Source organism: Homo sapiens, chromosome 7 (assembly GCF_000001405.40).
Source record: "Homo sapiens chromosome 7, GRCh38.p14 Primary Assembly".
Classification (NCBI taxonomy): Eukaryota; Metazoa; Chordata; class Mammalia; order Primates; family Hominidae; genus Homo; species Homo sapiens.
The window spans coordinates 469,827-490,239 of NC_000007.14; the positions used below are offsets into that span (position 1 = coordinate 469,827).

The window sequence follows — 20,413 nt, forward strand, 5'->3', positions numbered from 1 at the left end:
GGAGCCAGAAGCCTGCAATCAAGGCATCGGCGGGGCTGGGTCCCTCTGGAGGCTCTAGGGAGTCATCCCGGCCTCTCTCAGCTTCTGGCGGCCGCCCTCCTTGTGTTCCATGACTTTCAGACGCGTCTCCCATCCCACCTCCCTCTTCACCCACCCCTTGTGTGTGTGAGTTTCTTCCATCTCTCATGAGGACACCAGTCATTGGTTTAGGGCCCACCCTAATCCAGGGTGGTCTCATTTAAGACATGGATTTAACTAGTTACAAGTGCAAAGACTATTTCCAAGTAAGGCCACATCACGGGTTCCAGGTGGACATAAATTTGGGGGACTGCTCAACGCAGCACACCCCTCCCCCACCACCCTATATCTCCCTGTGCCCCGCAGCACACCCCTCCCCCACCCTATATCTCCCTGTGCCCCGCAGCACACCCCTCCCCCGCCACCCTATATCTCCCTGTGCCCCGCAGCACACCCCTCCCCCACCCTATATCTCCCTGTGCCCCACAGCACACCCCTCCCCCACCCTATATCTCCCTGTGCCCCACAGCACACCCCTCCCCCACCCTATATCTCCCTGTGCCCCACAGCACACCCCTCCCCCACCACCCTATATCTCCCTGTGCCCCGCAGCACACCCCTCCCCCACCCTATATCTCCCTGTGCCCCACAGCACACCCCTCCCCCGCCACCCTATATCTCCCTGTGCCCCACAGCACACCCCTCCCCCACCCTATATCTCCCTGTGCCCCTCAACACACCCCTCCCCCGCCACCCTATATCTCCCTGTGCCCCACAGCACACCCCTCCCCCGCCACCCTATATCTCCCTGTGCCCCACAGCACACCCCTCCCCCGCCACCCTATATCTCCCTGTGCCCCACAGCACACCCCTCCCCCACCCTATATCTCCCTGTGCCCCACAGCACACCCCTCCCCCGCCCTATATCTCCCTGTGCCCCACAGCACACCCCTCCCCCACCACCCTATATCTCCCTGTGCCCCACAGCACACCCCTCCCCCGCCACCCTATATCTCCCTGTGCCCCTCAACACACCCCTCCCCCGCCACCCTATATCTCCCTGTGCCCCACAGCACACCCCTCCCCCGCCACCCTATATCTCCCTGTGCCCCACAGCACACCCCTCCCCCACCCTATATCTCCCTGTGCCCCACAGCACACCCCTCCCCCGCCACCCTATATCTCCCTGTGCCCCACAGCACACCCCTCCCCCACCCTATATCTCCCTGTGCCCCACAGCACACCCCTCCCCCGCCCTATATCTCCCTGTGCCCCACAGCACACCCCTCCCCCACCCTATATCTCCCTGTGCCCCTCAACACACCCCTCCCCCGCCACCCTATATCTCCCTGTGCCCCTCAACACACCCCTCCCCCGCCACCCTATATCTCCCTGTGCCCCTCAACACACCCTCCCCCACCACCCTATAGCTCCCCCATGCCCCTTCTCCCCTTTCATGCTGTTCGGGGCGTGTCCATCTGTTGACCGTCTGTCTCCCCCGCCAGGATCCTGTGCACCCCTGCACACGCCCAGCCTGGGCACACTCGGCAGACCGCTGATGATCTACTGGAAGAGCAGACGAGGGTCTGACTTCCTAAGTCATGGTGTCAGCCTCGAACAGGAGTGTTCTGGGTCCAGGGAGATGTCATGGAGTGAGCTGGGCCTGGGCTGGAGGCCTGGCTCTGCTGGCGGGGCTGAGCCCATTCACCCATCAAGCCCCCGTTTCTCATCTGTATGATGGGAGGCTCCCCGCACCACCCTCTCTTCCCTATCACCTTTCCGACTGACCTGGGTGGGGGCCAGGTGTGACTGTGGCCAGGGTCTATGGGGGATCACTGAGGTCCTCAAGATGGCCCCGGACAAGGAGGGGCATCAAAGCAGGGGAGACAGAGGAGCTCTGGCCCCGTCTTCCCCAGCAGCCCATGAGCCATGGATCAGCCGGGGGCGCCCATGTTGAGCAGTCCCAGGGAGCCCGCTGCCCTGAGCCATTTGACCAGAGGGGTGGCCCGGCCAGCTCGGCACAGTGCTGAATTCTGGGGACCTCATCGCTCCTGCCGGTCCCCTAGGGGCTCACAGTGGGGCTGGAACGAAAGGGAGCCTGATGGAGCCTGCAGCTGACTGCCCAGGAAGCTTCCGGAACGCAGCCACGTGGGAGCGGTTGCTGGAACTTCCTCACACTGCCTGTTCAGGCCGGGCCCGCATTCCCCCTCCAAGGGAAGGGAGGGCCAGAGCCGGTGCGAAATCTGTCCTGGCAGCTCCCCAGGGACTCCCGGGGCAGGCTCAAGTTTCTAAGGAGCATAAACTATGTCTTACAAGTCGAGATAGTGACTCCAGTGACTGAAAACATCAGAAATAGCTCTGCTGAGTCAGTCCCTTCCCAAAGTTCTGTGGGAAAGAGTCTGTCGGCCAGAGGGCTGACCCCACAGGCCCCAGCTCACTTGCAACAGCTCCTGCAGCCCAGGGAGAAGGCATGGGAGGGACCCGGGTGGTGGCACCTGGCAGCTGGTGAGCAGCCCTGAACCGTCCCTGGTGACAAGGAGGGGACACAGCTTAGAGGCACCCGCCATGCCACCTTTGTGGAGCTGGGCAGGCCTGGGGTTTAGGGACTCGGCGCAGGTCCCCCGGCCCCCTCATCCTGACACTTCTTTTCCTGGAGCTGCCTTTTCACAGCCTTCCCCCGAGGAGGAGTGACCTTTGGCTTGTTTGGATGTTAAGCGGGGAATCCGCACACAAGCCACAGTGTATGCGCACACACACAGAGGCACTGACGCACGGTGGCTTTACATGAAGGAGGTGCGTTATATCACATGACAGGAAGTTCAAGGTGTGCACTCAGTGATTCTGTGATACCACAGGAGCTGGGATTCCTCCTCCTCTCTACCCTGCCATTCTCAATTGGCCTCACACCTCATAATTGTCCCCTCGTGGTCACAAGAGGACTGCCATAGCTCCAGGCATCACGTCCTCATCCACCACCCTCTAAAGGCATCCCTGCCTTCTGCCCCTTTTATGACTTTTTATTTTTATTTTTATTTTTATTTTTAAAGATGGGTTCTGGCTCTGTCACTCAGGCTACAGTGCAGTGGCACGGTCATAGCTCACTACAGCCTCAACCTCCAGGGCCCAGGCAATCTTCCCACCTCAGCCTCCTGAGTAGCTGGGACCACAGGCATGCACCACCATGCCTGGATAATTTTTTTTTTATTTTTGTAAAGATAGGGGTCTCGTTATGTTGCCCAGGCTGGTCTCGAACTCCTGGCCTCCAGCAATCCCCCTGCCTTGGCCTCCTAAAGTGCAAGGATTACAGGCATCAGCCACTGCACCCAGCCTTGTGCCCCTTTCTGAGAGCCGGGAAGATGCTCCCAGGAGCCCTCGGGAGGCTTCCCTCCGGTCTCGTGGCCAGAATTGTCTCCTGCTCGTGTGAGTCGGTGGCGGGCCAGGCGAATGGAGCTACCGGGGCTGCCGCTTTGGACTGCTCGGCATTTGCCCCATGGGGCTGCACAGGGGCCCAGGCTGGCTGAGAATGTCCCTGGGTCCAGGAGGCAGACGGAGGTACAGCCCAGCAGCCAGGAGGTGTGTCAGGATGTTCCCCAGTCAGCACCCGTGGAGGGGAGGGAGGAGGCAGGGTGGGCGAGGAAGGTCCAACAGTGGACGGCCTGCCCACAAGAAGCTCTGAGGCTGGGAGCTGGCAGAGTTGCTGCAAGTGGGTTGGGCCAGGACTGCTGGGCCTGTGCACCTGCCTGGATGCATCAGTGGTCGTGGGCTGCCCTGGGAAGGGCGTGAAGCTCCCTGCAGCCAAGGATCCTGGAGGTGCTGACATCACCCAGCCACCGGACAACAGCCTGCCCTACTTCGAGGAGCTCTGGGCAGCCCAGCCCCATGTCCCCCTCACGCCCCACCCCACAGCTGACAAAAAGACCACAGGAGTCCAACAGCCAACCAGGGGGAGGCCGTTGAATTCGGGGGACAACCAGAAACGCCTGAAACAGAGATAAAGAGACTGATATGGAAAAGACTGGGCTGGCATGGTGGCTCCCAACTGGGATCCCAGTGCTTTGAGAGGCCGAGGCGGGAGGATCACTTGAGCCCAGAAGTTCAAGACCAGCGTGGGCAACATAGTGAGACCCCGTCTCTTTTAAAAATCCTTTTTTAATTAGGCAGGCATAGTAGTGCGTGCCTGTTTTCCCAGCTGCTAGGGAGGTAGAGGCAGGAGAATCACGGGAGTTTCGAAGTCCAAGGTCACAGTGAGCTGTGATTGCACCACTGCACTCCAGCCTGGGCAACATGGCAAGACCCCATCTCTAAAAGAAAGAAACAAGAAGACATGGAGAGAAATATCCAAAAATGTTTACAATAATGATTTCTGGATAGAAGGATTATAGGAAGTTTGTCGTTTTTTTCTTTGTCCTACTCTGTCTAAAGTGAATATGTATTTCTTTTATAATCAAAAAAACTTAACTTTTTTATAAGAAGTCCTTTTGTCAACAGAGCACAGGGTCTGGATTCAAAGACATGGGCTCAGCTCCTTTTGGGGCAATCCCAGGGCCCGCTGACGAGATCCGGGACAAAGTGAGTTCTGGGGACAGTCGGCTGTGCCTGCAGCCTCTGCTTCAGGATTCCCCACTGTGTTCTCCAGCCCACACTCCAGCACCCTGAGACTGGGGTTAGGTATGACCTTTCCCACGAATTAGCCATGTGATATTTTTTGAAGACATGAATTGTCATACTGCCAGATTCTTCATCCATAAAGTGGATCGTGCCCTTAGCTGGCTCACGAGTTGTGTTTGTTGAGATGGGTAACTCTAGCTGCTCTAATAGAGCCTCATACTCCCCAGCTTGACACAGTAGAGTTTATTTCTCGGTCAGGGGAAGGCCAACCTGGATTGTTCCCAGATGGTGGGCAGCAGTCCACATGGTCATGCAGGGATCCAGGCTCCACTTGACTCAGCTCTGCTGTGCTGCCTTTGGCCCCTCCAAATTCTCCACTCAGACAGAGAAAGAGGGCGAGGATCATGGTGGGGCAGGAGTAGGGCCAGGCTTGGAAATCCCCCGAATCCCACTGGCTGGAGCCCAGGGACATGGCTGCACCGGAGGCCAAAGGTCAGGCAGCCAGGAAGCGCACTCAGGCAGGCAGGATGTGTGTTAGGAGGGGGTGGGGGTGGATCAAGGTTGGCCTCACAAGCGTGGGATTTTGCTGATTGGGCTGTGAGGGTCTTGGCCTCCCAACACACCCAAGCCCCCGGCCATGCACGTGGAGCATGCGTGGGGGGCAGGAGGAGCTGGGTTCCCCCTCAGACGTGGAGCCTCCCTCTCTCTCTCTGGAATGGGCACTCATGTGCTTCTGTCCAGGGATTTGAATCTTGAGGGACAGATGAAGGCGCTGGGACACTTTAGAAATTATTCACAGCAACAGCAGTGTCGTCCTAAACCCGGGGGACGGCCCCGCCCTGGCTGGGACCCCAGGGGTCATGTGGCTCTACTGTGTCCCCAGCCCTCCTGCCGTCAGCCGTCCCATTATCTATCCCACCACCATCTACTCTCGTAGTTTGTAACCAAGACGCGCGGCGGATAGGAGGTCAGTGATGTAAGACTGACCCGGAACTCTTCTGGGAGCTTCAGGGTCACAGGCTCTGGTCCTGGCTCTGTGGAGGCTTCTCAGCAAGGCTGGGGAGAGTGCAACACAGCTGGGTCACCTGAGATCCAGGAGAGAATACAAGATGCACAAGGGGCCAGGTGCAGCAGCTACACCGCCAGCACTGCGGGAGGCCGGGGCGAGAGGCTACATCACCAGCACTGCAGGAGGCCGGGGCATGAGGCTGCAGGACCAGCACTGTGGGAGGCCAGGGCATGAGGCTGCAGGACCAGCACTGTGGGAGGCCGAGGCATGAGGCTGCAGGACCAGCACTGTGGGAGGCCAAGGCATGAGGCTGCAGGACCAGCACTGTGGGAGGCCGATGGGGGAGGCTAGAGCCCCAGCACTGCGGGAGGCCGGGGCGAGAGGCTACATCACCAGCACTGCAGGAGGCCGGGGCATGAGGCTGCAGCACCAGCACTGCAGGAGGCCAGGGCATGAGGCTGCAGGACCAGCACTGTGGGAGGCCGAGGCATGAGGCTGCAGGACCAGCACTGTGGGAGGCCAAGGCATGAGGCTGCAGGACCAGCACTGTGGGAGGCCGATGGGGGAGGCTAGAGCCCCAGCACTGCGGGAGGCCGGGGCGAGAGGCTAGAGCACTGTGGGAGGCCGAGGCGGGAGTCTACACCATCCAGCACTGCCGGAAGCGGAGGCAGAGGCTACACCACTAGCACCAAGGGAGGCCAGGGTGGGAGGCCATGGCAGCACAGGAAAGCTGGGATGTTTCCCAAAGCCCCTTCCCAATGTGGTTCCGGATCAGGGCTGGCCACAGGAGGACGTGGTCTGGACTTGGGAGGAGAAGCTGTGGTTTGGTGTCTGGAGTGGGTGTGGGCCTCGTGGGGCGGGTCTGCTTGTCATCTGGGTGGTTCAGGAGAACGGCCAGCACCTCCGGCTCCTGCAGGCCTCACCCCACAGCCCTTCAGGGCCCTGGGCTGGATGCACGTGTGCTCCACAGCCAAGGGCCCGGCTGTCCTGCAGGGGCCTGGCTAAGACAGGAGGTGGGGAGAGAGCAACACGGGGACATACCAGGTGTTCTCAAGGGCCCCAGCCTGACTCCACTGTCCCTCACTTCATGTCTCTTATGGGCTGGACTGTGCCCCCAGATATTCATATGTCCAAATTCTAACCCCCAGGACCCCTGAATGTGACCTGATTTGGAGACAGGGCCCTTGCAGATGAGATTGAGGGGAGATGAGCTCACAGGAGGCCCCGATCTGGTGGGACTGCTGTCCTCATGGAAAGGGGGAACCTGGACCCAGGGAGAGGCTCACATAGAGGGAAGAAGATGGGAAGAGACACAGGGAGACGACGGCCATCCAGAAGCCAGTGAGAGGGACCAGGACGGATTCTCCTTCAACCCCCAGAAGGAGCCTGTCCTGCAACACCAGGGCCCCAGACCTGTGGCCCTCAGGACGTGAGAAAATCAATCCCTCAGAGGCCCCCAGAACATCCGCCTTCCCATCCCCACGGTGCTGGGCTCAGCACTGCACAGGCCACACGCCCTGCCCGTGGCTGCTTCACCTGCCCCCAGGACATTGCTGAGCACCCTGTTTTCTGTCGGAGTCCCAACGGCACAGAGGCAAGAGCTTTCAGGGCTTGGCACCCGAGCCCTCAGACGGCGGCAGGAGGCATCGCAAGCCTCCCTGGAGGTCTTTTAGGAGAGCGGCGCCAGCGGCCCGCGGGGGCTTCAGAGGGCGAGCAGAGCTGGGCCCCCCGGTGGGTGCCCCTGGGAGAAGCGCATGTTCCAGCTGCCTCCCACCCTGGGCGCGCGTCTCAGGGGCTACGTGAGACCCTCCGCCACGGCCACCGTGGAGGAGCCTGCATGCGAGGCTGGGTGGGGGAACCACAGCACCGTTTCGCGGCTGTTTTGTTTTTGTTTTTGTTTTTTGTTTTGTGGGTTTTTTATTTTGTTTTTGTTTTTGTTTTTTCGAGACTGACTCTCACTCTGTCGCCCGGGCTGGAGTGCAGTGGCGTGATCTCGGCTCACTGCAACCTCCGCCTCCCGGGTTCAAGCCATTCTCCTGTCTCAGCCTCCCGAGTAGCTGGGATTACAGGCACGCGCCATCACACCCGGCTAATTTTTGTATTTTTAGTAGAGACGGGGTTTCACCACGTTGGCCAGGCTGGTCTCAAACTCCTGACCTCAGGTGATCCACCCGCCTCGGCCTCCCAAAGTGCTGGGATGACAGGTGTGAGCCACCACACCCGGCCTTGCTGCTGTTTTTATCACATTAAAACACAAAATTAATTCAGCCATTTCTCCTGACCCCAAAATGTCTGAGGAGTAGAGCAAGCAGAGAGGTGAATGATTCATATCTTTGGAATCCCTACTGCAAACGCGTGCAGAAATAAACTGGGTTTTCCTCCTGTAACAGGGCCGTTTCACCTGGGGGGCTGCACGTCTGCAGAGTGAGGCTCCGCAGGCAGATGCTACAGGGAAAGGCAGCCCTGGGGACCAGGAAATGATGCCGTCCTCTTGGACACTGGGGAGAGTGACCTGGGGGAGGTGGACACAGCGCGGCTGGGGCGAGGCCTGGGCTCCAGGTCCCCATGCAGGGCAGTCCGAGGGTGTCCTCATCCACCTCCCTTTGTACCGTGAGTTTGCTGAGCCAGATGGTGACACAGGGCTCCTGAGGGCTCAGCCTGGAGTCTGTGAGTCTAAATCAGAACTTGCCTGGTGGTCGTCCTTACGTTCATCTGAGGTGAAGGTCTGGGTCCTTCGTGCTTGAATCTCACCCAAGGCAGGAAGTCTTTGCTGCCCTTCTGAGTTGCAAAGCCCCTCCCAGAGGAACAGCACCCTTCAGGGCTATGGGAAGGACCAGGGTTTCCCAAGAGGGAGGGAGGGAGGGAGGGGGGAGGAAAGGAAGAAAGGAGGGAAGGACAGAGAGAGGGAAGGAGGGAAGGAGGAGGGAAGGAGGAAGGAGGAGGGAAGGAGAAAGGAGGGAGGGAAGGAAGGAAAGGAAGGGAGGACAAAGGGAGGAAGGAGGGAGGGAAAGAAGGAAAGAAGGAAGGAAGGAAGGAGGGAAGAAAGGAAGGAAGAAGGGAGAGAAGGAAGGAGGGAGGGAGAGAAGGAAGAAGGGTAGGAAGGAGGAAAGGAAGAAAGGAAGGAAGGAGGGAGGGAAGGAGGGGGGGAAGGAAGGAGGGAAGGAAGGAGGGAGGGAGGGGGAGGGAGGAAGGAAAGGGAAGGGAAGGAGGAAGGGGAGGGAAGGAGGAAGGAGGAGGGAAGGAGGAAGGAGGAGGGAAGGAGGAAGGAGGAGGGAAGGAGGAAGGAGGAGGGAAGGAGGAGGGAAGGAGGAAGGAGGAGGGAAGGGAAGGAGGAGGGAAGGAGGAGGGAAGGAGGAGGGAAGGAGGAAGGAGGAGGGAAGGAGGAAGGAGGAGGGAAGGAGGAGGGAAGGAGGAAGGAGGAGGGAAGGGAAGGAGGAGGGAAGGAGGAGGGAAGGAGGAAGGAGGAGGGAAGGAGGAAGGAGGAGGGAAGGGAAGGAGGAGGGAAGGAGGAGGGAAGGAGGAGGGAAGGAGGAAGGAGGAGGGAAGGAGGAAGGAGGAGGGAAGGAGGAGGGAAGGAGGAAGGAGGAGGGAAGGGAAGGAGGAGGGAAGGAGGAGGGAAGGAGGAGGGAAGGAGGAAGGAGGAGGGAAGGAGGAAGGAGGAGGGAAGGAGGAGGGAAGGAGGAAGGAGGAGGGAAGGGAAGGAGGAGGGAAGGAGGAGGGAAGGAGGAAGGAGGAGGGAAGGAGGAAGGAGGAGGGAAGGGAAGGAGGAGGGAAGGAGGGAAGGAGGAAGGAGGAGGGAAGGGAAGGAGGAGGGAAGGAGGGAAGAGGGGAGGAGGGATTGGTATGGTCAGTATTTTTTATTTGTCCGTCTGATGGCCAGGTAGTGGTGTCTGATTGCGGCTTTACTTTATGTCCTCCTAATGGCAACTGGTGTGAAACATCCTTCCATTCGCTCCCGTGCTGTCAGCGGATCTTCTTTGATGAAACGTTAGCTGATGTGGGAACAGCTACTCTGCCAGGCTCTGTGCCAGGCTCTGAAAATCTGTGACAGAGGCACATAAGACATCCTTGCTCTCTTCATGGTGTTTACAACCTCATGGGAGAGGCAAACACATAAATAAACCTGGTGCCTCGAAGGTTTGGAAACAGAGCAACAGAGCTTTGGAAAGGGCTGGGTGGGCCGCTCCTTCCCTTGTTGCCCCCTGCACACGAGACCCAGCAAAGCTCCAACTCCTCGTCTGGGAACTGAGGGTGATACGGCACCAACTGCGTCAGCGGCCCAGTCCACAGCACCAGGGGCTGGGAAGAGCTTTGTAAAACTTTGCTACCGTTGCCTCCACCACCATCAGCTGGAGGGTCACAGAAGGCGACCCCAGAGCCGGAGCCGGAGCCAAGCCTCAGCCACGAGTCAGCCTCTGCCGGCTCTGAGGACCCCCAGAGAGGGTGCCCCTCCCCAGTCATGGTTTCCAGGCAGTGACGCAGGGTGGTCTGCACCAGGCACCCTTTTCCAAGGATTTCAAGTTAGGTTTGTTTTCCAGAAAGCCAGTACTGGGGCCAAGCCAGCTCCAGGTGAGACAGGCGCTGGGGGTGCTGGGCTGGCCACTCACATCCACCCTCCCCCGGCCAGCGGGCAGGGAAGACCCCCCAACCTCCCTTCCTAGAAAGCGGCCCCATCTAAGAGAAGCCTTGAAATCGGAGCGTCAGGAAAGGAGTGTGGGGCTCAGCCCAGAGCTTTGTCAGCCTCACCAACACGGGGTCCATCCAGAAGGCTCCCGGCCTCCCCGGCCCTTCCTGGCTTTTAGTCACTGCCGAGCTTGTGAGCACTTGTGTGCTCCGGTGAAACGGCCGAGGGCAAGAGCCCTGGGGGGCAGGGGCGCTGTTCTCAGTTCCTGGAGGCAGCAGAGTGGGAGGAAGAGGCCCTGAGATGCCGTCTCAGTGCCCCCACCCCCAGCTTAGGAGAGAGATTACCTGGCCAGGGCCATCTGAGCAGCAAGATAGAGAACCTCTCTCCCTCAGACCTAGGAAACAACATTTGGGGTGCAATCGCCCAGGGAACCCAAAAAGGAGCCCCGGGAGGTCCCAGCCCTAGACTCACACTGACAGGTGCTTCTCCAAAGGAGGGGGCTTGTGGGTGGGGGGCAGCCATGCAGATGGGCCCAACAGCCCCTGGGAGCCAAGGCAGGGGCAGCTCAGGCAGGCAGGGCAAGGAGCGAGCGCAGGCCGAGGATCAGGGTGGGGCAGCATGGGGGCTGGGACCTCTGGTGCCCCCACCACCACCCTGGTGAGGACAGGAGGCACTCCCGGGGCTCGCATGGCTGCTGACCGCAAGCTTATCTCTCCCTGTGTGCATGTCTGCCCCTGGAGACAGGACTCTCTAGCTGCCAGCCTCCCGGAGAAGCCCCAGGCTGAGCTCACCCAGTCCCCTCCAGGCCCTGAACTGCCTCTCCTCGTCCCGAGCAAGCACTCTCCTCTGCCCAGACCCCTGGCTCCAGGCCAAATCCAGGGCTGCTGAGGAGCCCGAGGCCAGGCCCAGGGGAGATGGAGGAAGTGTCAGGTGCAGGCCAGGTCGCTGTTTTCTGATTGATAGGAAAAGAGGGCCAGGCAGGGCCCTGCGGAGGGCAGGGAGGAGTCCAGGTGGAACCTGGGAGGGGAGGCAGCTGGCCAGGGCTCCAGGGAGCCTGAAAAGAAAACAGCCCCTCTCCGAAGCCTGGCACTGTCCTTCCTCTCCCCTCAGGCCATGGGCTCCCATGGAAATCAGGCCAGGTCAGAGGGCACCACAGTTTAAGTGTGAGCCCCTGCAGATCTCAGATCCGTGAGCTGGGGACAGGTTCCCTGGGGCTGCAGGAGCTCCAGAGGAAGGCCGAGGTGGGGCCAGCCCGGCAGGACACAGGTACCTGGTCCCGCTAATTAATTGCTTCCAGCAGGCTCTGAAGAGCAGCTGGGCCCAGGAATGCCCCCTCCAGTGAAGACCGACTCTGTCTAACTTGTGAAGGTTTGGATACTGACGGCGAACCGCTCTTAATAAATCTCTCTCTCCTTCTCATGCGCAGCTCATCTGCAGGGCTTGGTGCCTCTGGGGGGCCAGGACGGTGGGCAGCCCTCCTCCCGTCCCCACACTCCTCCCCTCCCCACCCTCCTCCCTCCCTTCCCGCCCTCCTCCTGTCCCCACCCTCCTCCCCTCCCCAACCTCCTCCCCTCCCCACCCTCCCCTCCCCACCGCTGGGGCTGGTCCTGCTTCTTAGTGCCCTCCTGCCTTGAATGAGCACAACCCATGCGGTGGTCCTCCTGCGTGCCACCTTCTCTGTGCTTCACCTGCATCCCTTGCTGGTCCTTGGGTTCAATAACACTGTGGGGAGTCTCCAGAGATCCCACTAGACCAGATCAGGGGCCCTTATGGACCCTCCCCACCCACCTGAGAGGCAGAATAGCCTAGAGATTAAAAACTCAGAAGGGCCAAGTTCACATTCTGACTCCTCCACTTACAAGATTTGGTGTAAGATCCTTCCTGAGCCTGTGCCTCAACTTCTCCATTTTTGAAGCATAGGTCTCTGGCAGCACCTACCCATGGGTGGTTGTGAGAATTAAAACCTAAAGCATCTAACACCCCATCTGCCCCCAAGCAGCACTAGTCACTGCTGTCATTTCCTTCAGGCACTTACTTCAGTCTACGATTATGTTCCTTTTTGTGTATGATTAATGTCTAAATTTCCCTCTTAATGGTTAGCTCCAGGAAGGCAAGAAATTCATGGTGTCTGGCAGAGTGACAGGTCCCTGTTAGGTGCTCAAGAACTTATGTTGTATGGATGGATGGATGGATGGATGGATGGATGGATGGATGGTTGGATGGAGGACAGTTGGATGGATAGATGGATGGATAGATGGATGAATGGGTGGATGGATGGATGGATAGGTGGATTGGTGGATAGTTGTATGAATAATAGACGGCTGAACAGATTGATGGTTGGATAAACGGATGGGTGAATGGGTAGGCAAGTGGGTGGATAGTTGGATGGATGATAGATTGTTAGATAGATGAATGAATGGATGAGTGGATGGAAGGGTGAAAGGGTAAGTAGATGATGGGTAGATGGATGTGTAGGTGAGTGAGTGGATAATTGGATGGACAGATAAATAGGTGGATGGATGGATGGATCAGTAGATAGTTGGATGAATGATTGATGGTTGGAACAGTTGGGTGGATGGGTAGGTGTGTTGATAGTTGGATGGATGATAGATGGTTGGATGGATTGATGGATGGAAGGATGGATGGATGGATGGATGGATGGATGTGTGAATGGATGGATGGGTAAGTGAATGAATGGGTGGATAGTTTGATGGATGGATAGATGATAGATGGATGGATGGTTGAACACATGACTGACTGGATGGAGGGATGGATGGATGGATGGGTAGATCAGTGGATAGTTGAATGAATGATAGATGGTTGGACAGATGGGTGGATGGGTGGGTGGGTGGATACTTGGATGGATGATAGATGGTTGGTTGGACTGATAGATGATGGATGGATGGATGGATGGATGGATGGATGTGTGAGTGAATGGATGGGTAAGTGATGAATGGGTGGATAGTTCGATGGATGGATAGAAGATGGATGGATGGTTGGACACATGACTGGATGGATGGATGGACGGATAGTTGGATGGATGGATAGATAGAGAGATAGATAGATGGATAAGTGGATGGGTGGATGAGAGGATCTAGTACCAGGGGGATGGCTCCACCTTGATATCCAACTGAGGCCCCTGCCAATGGGTCCATCCTGATTTTGAGGAAGAACTTTGGCGGGGACCTGGGCCAGTCCTTGGCCCCCCCACCCGTGGGATATTGGGCGGGCGGGGATAAAGGGACAGCCTCGGTATCATGGACAAAGGGGCTGCACAACATGGGTGGGATGGGAAGACTGGCGGTGAAATACGCGGGTATGGGTTAAAAAATGGATGGATGGATGGATGGATGGATGGATGGATGAGTGGATGGATGGATGGATGGATGGATGGATGGATGGATGAGTGGATGGATGGATGACAGGAACTAGGACCAGGGGGATGGCTCCACCTTGATGTCCAACTGAGGCCCCTGCAATGCGCACCATCTGATTTGAGGAAGTATCTCTGCTGGAACTGGCCAGTACTTGCCCCCTCACTGTGGAATTTGGGCTGAGCCTGGAAAGCTGCTCCAAGCTATTTGCAAAGGGGTTTCCAGCCTTGGATCCCTAAAGGCTGCCAGAGAGAGGCTCCTGTGGTTCCCTGGGACAAGGAGACCTCCTTCATCCTCCATGCCTGTTTCTCAGACAGTGAAGACAAGGCACAAATGTGTGCTTTGGAGGTGGCTGAGGGGCTCAGACACTGCAGTGTGCAGGCGCCTGCCAGGCCTGATGTGGTGATGCTCGCTCAGGGCCTCTAGGGCAACCCAGGGTCATGTTTGATTTGACGAAGGGGTTAAGTGCGCTGCTCTTTAAAAGCCGGAACACAGACAATGTGAAGCTTCCTCCCTCAGACCCACCACATTGGTGGGCTTTACTTCAGCCCTAGGGACTCCTTCTGTCCCCTCACCCCTCTCAACTCCAACCCCCCCTCCCCAGACTGCAGAGAGGGGCCGGTTCTTGCCAGAGTCGCTCTTAGCCGTTTTGTGAAAAATCCATTTATTGTCTTCATTGCTTGGGAAGTTATAATCTTGAGGCTGCAGCTTCCTAAGGCGTTGCCATGGAGATGAATTTTCTGTCATAAATAAAAGTATTCTGGGGTCAGGAGATCTCAAGCATAACTAGGACAGATTTTGAGGGGGAAAATGCAAGAATTTCAGAAGCACATGAGATGATTTGGGCTGCCTTTTCCGGAGGGTGTTTTTTAGGCTGTCCTGAATTTGGCCTCTAGATGTGGGACCGTCCCTCTGCCGTACCCCCAACCCCGTTCCCCCAAGCCGACACTGTGTCTGCCTGCCCCTCCCCTCCTCCACCTGCTCAGGGCCAGAGCCTTGGGGGACCTGGTTTGGAAATCCAGGTTGGGGTGACGTCTGGGGTCACCCAAAGACGGGCTGGCTCCCAGTGTGTCCTCAGACAAGCCTTTCTGTCCCTGGCCCTAGACCCTGCCTGGGTGAGGGCCTCATTCACTCAGCCTAGGATTTTTGGAACATTCCTCACACGCCTCCTACGGGCCAGGGCTCACTCAGGTATTTCCCCTTGGGCTTGGGGCAGGCAGGGGGACACTCCCACTCCCGCATGACCCCTGCTTCCGAGGGCCCTGACCCCACCCCCACTCTTGCTCACTTCCCACCAGCCCCCATGGACATTAGCTTTAGGGATTTCCTTTTGTTCAGGGTCGCTGCAGGTCTGTGTTCGAGAAGGTGGGGGAGGCGGGACTGGAGCCCGGGAGGAAGGTATGCAGGGCTGAGGGGCCTCTGGAAGCCACCCAAGCCGACAGCCTCCGCCAGCAGTCAAGGGCTGTTTGCCAACCCCCATGCACCCCCTCATTAGGTAAACACAGAGTCCTCCATCAGCACAGGGCCCCAGAGCCATCCCTTGCACAGAGGCCCCAGGGTCCCCCGCGCTCGAGGGCCCCCCATGACCCTGGGACTGGGACTGCGGCACCCTGGGCCTCTCCTCCCAGCCCCGAGGCTCTCACTGGAGGACCCATCTTCCAAGGCTGCCACAATCCCAGGAGGCGGCTCCAGCCCCAGTAGCTCCAAAAAAACGAATGGAGAGGTGAGGAGGGAGAGAACAAAAGAAAGGAGGGAATGAAGGAGGGAGGAGGCTACGGGGTGAACCCTTTGCAGTTTGGACCTCAGACTGTGGTCCCCTCACCTACCTCCCCGGACAGCACCACCCTCCCTTCCCACCTTTGATGGGTCCCTGTCCCAGGAGAAAGCCCATAGAGACATCACACGGGAAGATCCTGCAGGAAGCCCTTCCTCCCTTGCAAACACTCGCAAAAAACGGCCCTTGATCATGGAGAAACAGGCTTCCAGGGCCCCCAGGGGCTGGGGTCCACGGTTGCAGGCCAGCAAGCCACAGCTCCCAGGCTGGGGCTCTAGTGAGTCTAGCCTCCCCAAGACCCACTTCTGCCAGGGGTTCTCTGCCTCCTGATAAATAACTGTGACACTATCTGCCCACATCCCTTGCTGAGCAGCAAAATCAACACAGGACAGGCTGTGACTCGCCAGGCCACGAGGAGCTGCAGGACGTACACACTGCATCGCCATCTGTGGGGCTTGGACAGCCACAGGAGGGACATGGCCCCAGAAGCCTGGCAGGGCATCCCACTGCGAGGGCCCCTCAGTGCCAGCTCTCGTGGCCTCTCACCAAGTCTGGCCCCAGCCCAGCTTTCCATCGCCACAAGCTTGTGCAGTCCACACCCGCCACCAAGAAGGGCGCTGGGGGTTGGGGCCAATGCCAGGTGGGGCAGGGAGGGGACGCTGTGGGAGGGAGGGGTGGCTGAACAGGATAAGGGCCCTGGAATGCACGGCTCCACCCCTGGATGGCTGTGTCCTCGTCCACAGAACAGGGACAGGGCCGCAGAAGGGCACTGTCAGGAGGCGGGATCCCTGTACCCTGATGACTCCCGGGAAGCGGCAGAAATCACGGTCATGAAGGATTCGTAACCGGGGCAGGGCTCTTCTCAGAGCGGGAGAAACAGACAGCGTCCAAGGAGCACCCCACACTGTCCCAGCTGATAAATGAACACAGCTGCAGACCATAGCAGGGTCCTCAGTGAGTCCGAGCTCTCCTGACTCCGCGTCGGACTGAAGCATCCTCGAGGGTGTCTATATGAGCCTGTGTGTGAGCTTGTGTGTGAATGTGTGCGTGCCTGTGTGTGAATGTGTGTGCCCGTGTGAGCCTATGTGAGCCTGCATGTGAATGTGTATGCCTGTGTGTGAATGCATGTGCTTGTGTGTGAGGCGCGCTTGTGTGTGAGGCATGTGAATATGTGAGCCTGCATGTGCCTGCATGAGCCTGCGTGTGCCTGCGTGAGCCTGCGTGTGACTGTGTATGCCTGTGTGAGCATGTGTGTGCGTGTGACTCCATGAGCCTGTGTGTGAATGTGTGAGCCTGCATGTGAATGCGTGTGCCTACGTGAGAATGCGTGAGCCTGTGTGTGAATGTGTGTCCCTGTGTGTGGACCTGCACGTGAGTGAGTGTGCCTGCATGTGAATGCGTGTGAATGCATGAGCCTGTGTGTGAATGTGTGAACCTGTATGTGAATGTGTGTGCCTGTACGTGAATGTGTGTGGTGCTCCATGTGTTTTTGTGTCTATGTGTTTGTCTCTGTGTGGCTGTAACTTTCTGTGACTCTCCAAAAACCCTGATTCAAAACCAAAGACACCACAGGAAAAGAGGACTACAGAACAATTTCCCACTTAAGCATGGACACAAAAATCCTTAACAAATGATTAACAAGTAGAATCAATATAAAAAGAAACGTATTTAATGACCAAGGTGGGTTAATCTCAGGAATGCAAGGTTAATGTAGCATTTGAAAAACTAATCAATGTAATTCACAATAATAGAATTATGTAAAAAAAAATCACATGGTAATTTTAACAGATGCAGAAACCATACAATGAAATGCAATAGATGCAAAAAAAATGGACACAATTCAACAACTTTTCATGATTTAAGAAAAACAAAAAACCCTCTCAGAAAACTAATAGGAGAAGCAAACCTCCTCAACTTCATTAAAGGCATCTACAAAACAGCTACAGCTAACATCTTACTCAATGTTGAAAGGCTCATTGCTTTCTAGCTAATAACAGGAATAAAGCAAGATTGCCCATTCTATTGTCACTTCTATTTGTTCTGGAGGTCCCAGCCAGTACAACAAGGCAAGAAAAAGAAATAAAAGGCATACAGAATGCAAAAGAAGAAATACAACAGTTCTTATTTCCAGATAACATGATCATGTATGTAGAAAACTCAAAGGAATTTCAAAAGAATTCTACTAAAACTAATAAGTGAATTTAGCAAGGTTGCAGGATCTAAGGACGATATACAAAAACAAATTGAAATTGAACAACTAGACCAAAGATCAACCAGCAAGTAGAAGACCTGGACAACATCATACACCAACTCGATCTTATGTGCATCTACAGAACACTCCATTCAACCATAAAGGTATACACATTCTTTTTCTTTTGGAGATGGAGTCTCGCTCTGTCACCCAGGCTGGAGTGCAGTGGTGCAATCTCAGCTCACTGCAGCCTCCACCTCCCGGGTTCAAGCGATTCTCGTGCCTCAGCCTCCTGAGTAGCTGAGATTACAGGCATGCCCAACCATGCCCGGCTAATTTTTGTATTTTTAGTAGAGACAGGGTTTCACCATGTTGGCCAGGCTGGTTTCAAACTCCTGACTCAAGTGATCCGCCTGCCTTGGCCTCCCAAAGTGCTGGGATTACAGGTGTGAGCCACTGCGCCCATCCAGAAACACACATTCTTTTCAAGTGCACGTGAAACATTCTCCAGGATAGACCATATGTTTGGCCATAAAAGAAGTCTCAATAAATTCAAAATAATGAAAATCATACCAAGTATGTTCTCTGACCATAATGAAATAAAATTAGAAATCATTAATAGATGAAAATTTATGAAATTCACAAATATGTGGAAATTAAACAACACACTCCTACATAACCAATAAGTCAAAGAAGACATCCCAGCGAAAACCAGAAAATACTTTGAGATGAAAGAAAACTCAACTTACCAAAGCTTATGGGATGCAGCTTAAAACAGTGCTTAGAGGGACATTTATAGCTAGAAACTCCTAATTTTTTAAAATAAAAAAGAAAAGACGTCAAATCAATAACTTAATCTTCCATCTTTTAAAAAATGGAAAAAAAAACCAAACCAAACCCAAAACAAGCAGAAAAATGAAATAACAAAGATTAGAGAGCTACTTGAAAGGCTGAGGCAGGAGGATCACGTGAGCCCAGTTCAAGACCAGCCTGGGCAACATAGCAAGACTCTGTCTCAAAAAAAAAAAAATTACGGGGGAAATAAATTTTAAAAATAAAGAGTAGAAAAACAATAGAGAATATTAACAAAACCAAAAGTTGGTTCTTGAAAAAAATAAAATAGACAAAACTTTAGCTACACTGACCAAGAAGTAGACAGAATAATCAAATTACTAAACTCAGGAATGAAAAGAGGGAACATTAGTATCAGCCTTACAGAAATAAAAATAATAAAGGAATGCTGTGAACATTGTGTGCCAAGAAATTAGATAACCTAGATGAAATGAACAAATTCCTAGAATCACAAACTGACTCAAGAAAAAGAGGCCCGAAGAAATATGAAGACTTATAGTAAGCAAAGAGATTGAATTAGTAATCAAAAAACTTCCTACAAAGAAAAGCCCAGGACCAGATGGCTTCACTGGTGAATGCTACCAAATATTTAAAAAGGAATTAACACAAATGCTTCCCAAACTCTTTGAAAAAATAGAAGAGGAAAGAACTCATTCTGTGAAGCCAGTCATAACCTGTCACCAAAACCACACAAAGACATCACAAGAAAACTACAGACTACTATCCCTCATGTATAGACACACAAAATTTCAATAAATAAAAATATTAAATAAATAAAATATTAAAAAGCCAAATCCAGCAACATACAAAAATAATGACTGTGCTCCATGACCAAGTGGGATTTATTCCAGGAATGCAAAGGTGGTTCAACATACAAAAAAAAAATCAGTGTAATATACCATATTAACAGAATAAAAATAAAAATCACATGATCATCTCAACTGATGCAAAAAAAGGACAATCTAATATTTTTTCATAACAAAAATAAATAAACACTCAACAACTAGGAATAGAAGGGAACTTTCTCACCCTAATAAAGGACATCTACATAAAACCCACAGCTAGCTAAGGCAAAAGACTTAGAACTCTTCCCCTAAGATCAGGAGCAAGACAAAGATGTCGGCTTCAGCCACTTCTAGTCAACATTCTACTGGAGGTACTTTCTAGCCAGGGCAATTATAAATGAAAAGAAAACAGTTTTTACAAAGAACAAAGCTGGAGGACTCACAATTTTGGATTTCAAACTTACCACAATGTCAGTAATGAAGACCCAAGGCATAGGGAGAGACATATAGATCAATGAAATAGAACTGAGAGTTCATTTAAAAAGCTATACATTCATGGTTGATTGACTTGTCAAGGGTGTCAAGACTATTCAGTGGGGAAGAAGAGTCTCTTCCACAAATCGTGCTGAGACAATTGGATTTCCACCATACAAAAGAATGCAGGTGGACCCCTGCCTCACACCACATACAAAAATTAACTGAAAGCAGATCAAACACCTAAATATGAGAACTAAACTATAAAACTCTTAGAAAAATATCATAGTCACAAACCTTCATGAATGCATCTTGTGTACAAAATTCTGAGCAACTCTGGTCTAATCTGGTTTAATCCAACAGTTCAACCACCTTACAGTTGAGGAAACTGTGGCTCAGAGAGGGGTGAGGCTCTGCTGAAGGTCACTGACCCCCCATGAGCAGAAATGACCTTCAGAACACCCCTCCCTTTCCTGCACCAGGCCAATTCACTGAGCCATTTTGGTATGCAACTCTCTGCTGAGCCAAGAATGAACAAACAAATTAACTTCTCGGCAGGGTGCAGTGGCACTTGCCTATAATCCCAGCACTTTAGGAGGCTGAGGTGGGAGGATCCTTTGAGCCCAGGAATTTGAGACCAACCCGGGCAACAAAGAGAAGCCCCGAGGCCACACCAGTCCCACCTACTCAGAAGGCTGAGGCTG

General features: G+C 54.7%; 4 annotated features.

Moving 5' to 3' along the window:
- Positions 1,138-2,094: an enhancer, noted in NCBI's record as "H3K4me1 hESC enhancer chr7:510601-511557 (GRCh37/hg19 assembly coordinates)". NCBI's record gives its function as "activates a minimal SCP1, AML or CMV promoter by ChIP-STARR-seq in naive H9 embryonic stem cells {active_cell/tissue: H9 hESC(naive)}" and the evidence as "EXISTENCE:reporter gene assay evidence [ECO:0000049][PMID:30033119]".
- Positions 4,966-5,260: an enhancer, noted in NCBI's record as "tiled region #3057; HepG2 Activating DNase matched - State 8:EnhW". NCBI's record gives its function as "activates a minimal TATA promoter and a strong SV40 promoter by Sharpr-MPRA in HepG2 cells {active_cell/tissue: HepG2}" and the evidence as "EXISTENCE:reporter gene assay evidence [ECO:0000049][PMID:27701403]".
- Positions 5,583-6,477: an enhancer, noted in NCBI's record as "H3K4me1 hESC enhancer chr7:515046-515940 (GRCh37/hg19 assembly coordinates)". NCBI's record gives its function as "activates a minimal SCP1, AML or CMV promoter by ChIP-STARR-seq in naive H9 embryonic stem cells {active_cell/tissue: H9 hESC(naive)}" and the evidence as "EXISTENCE:reporter gene assay evidence [ECO:0000049][PMID:30033119]".
- Positions 10,094-10,614: an enhancer, noted in NCBI's record as "H3K4me1 hESC enhancer chr7:519557-520077 (GRCh37/hg19 assembly coordinates)". NCBI's record gives its function as "activates a minimal SCP1, AML or CMV promoter by ChIP-STARR-seq in naive H9 embryonic stem cells {active_cell/tissue: H9 hESC(naive)}" and the evidence as "EXISTENCE:reporter gene assay evidence [ECO:0000049][PMID:30033119]".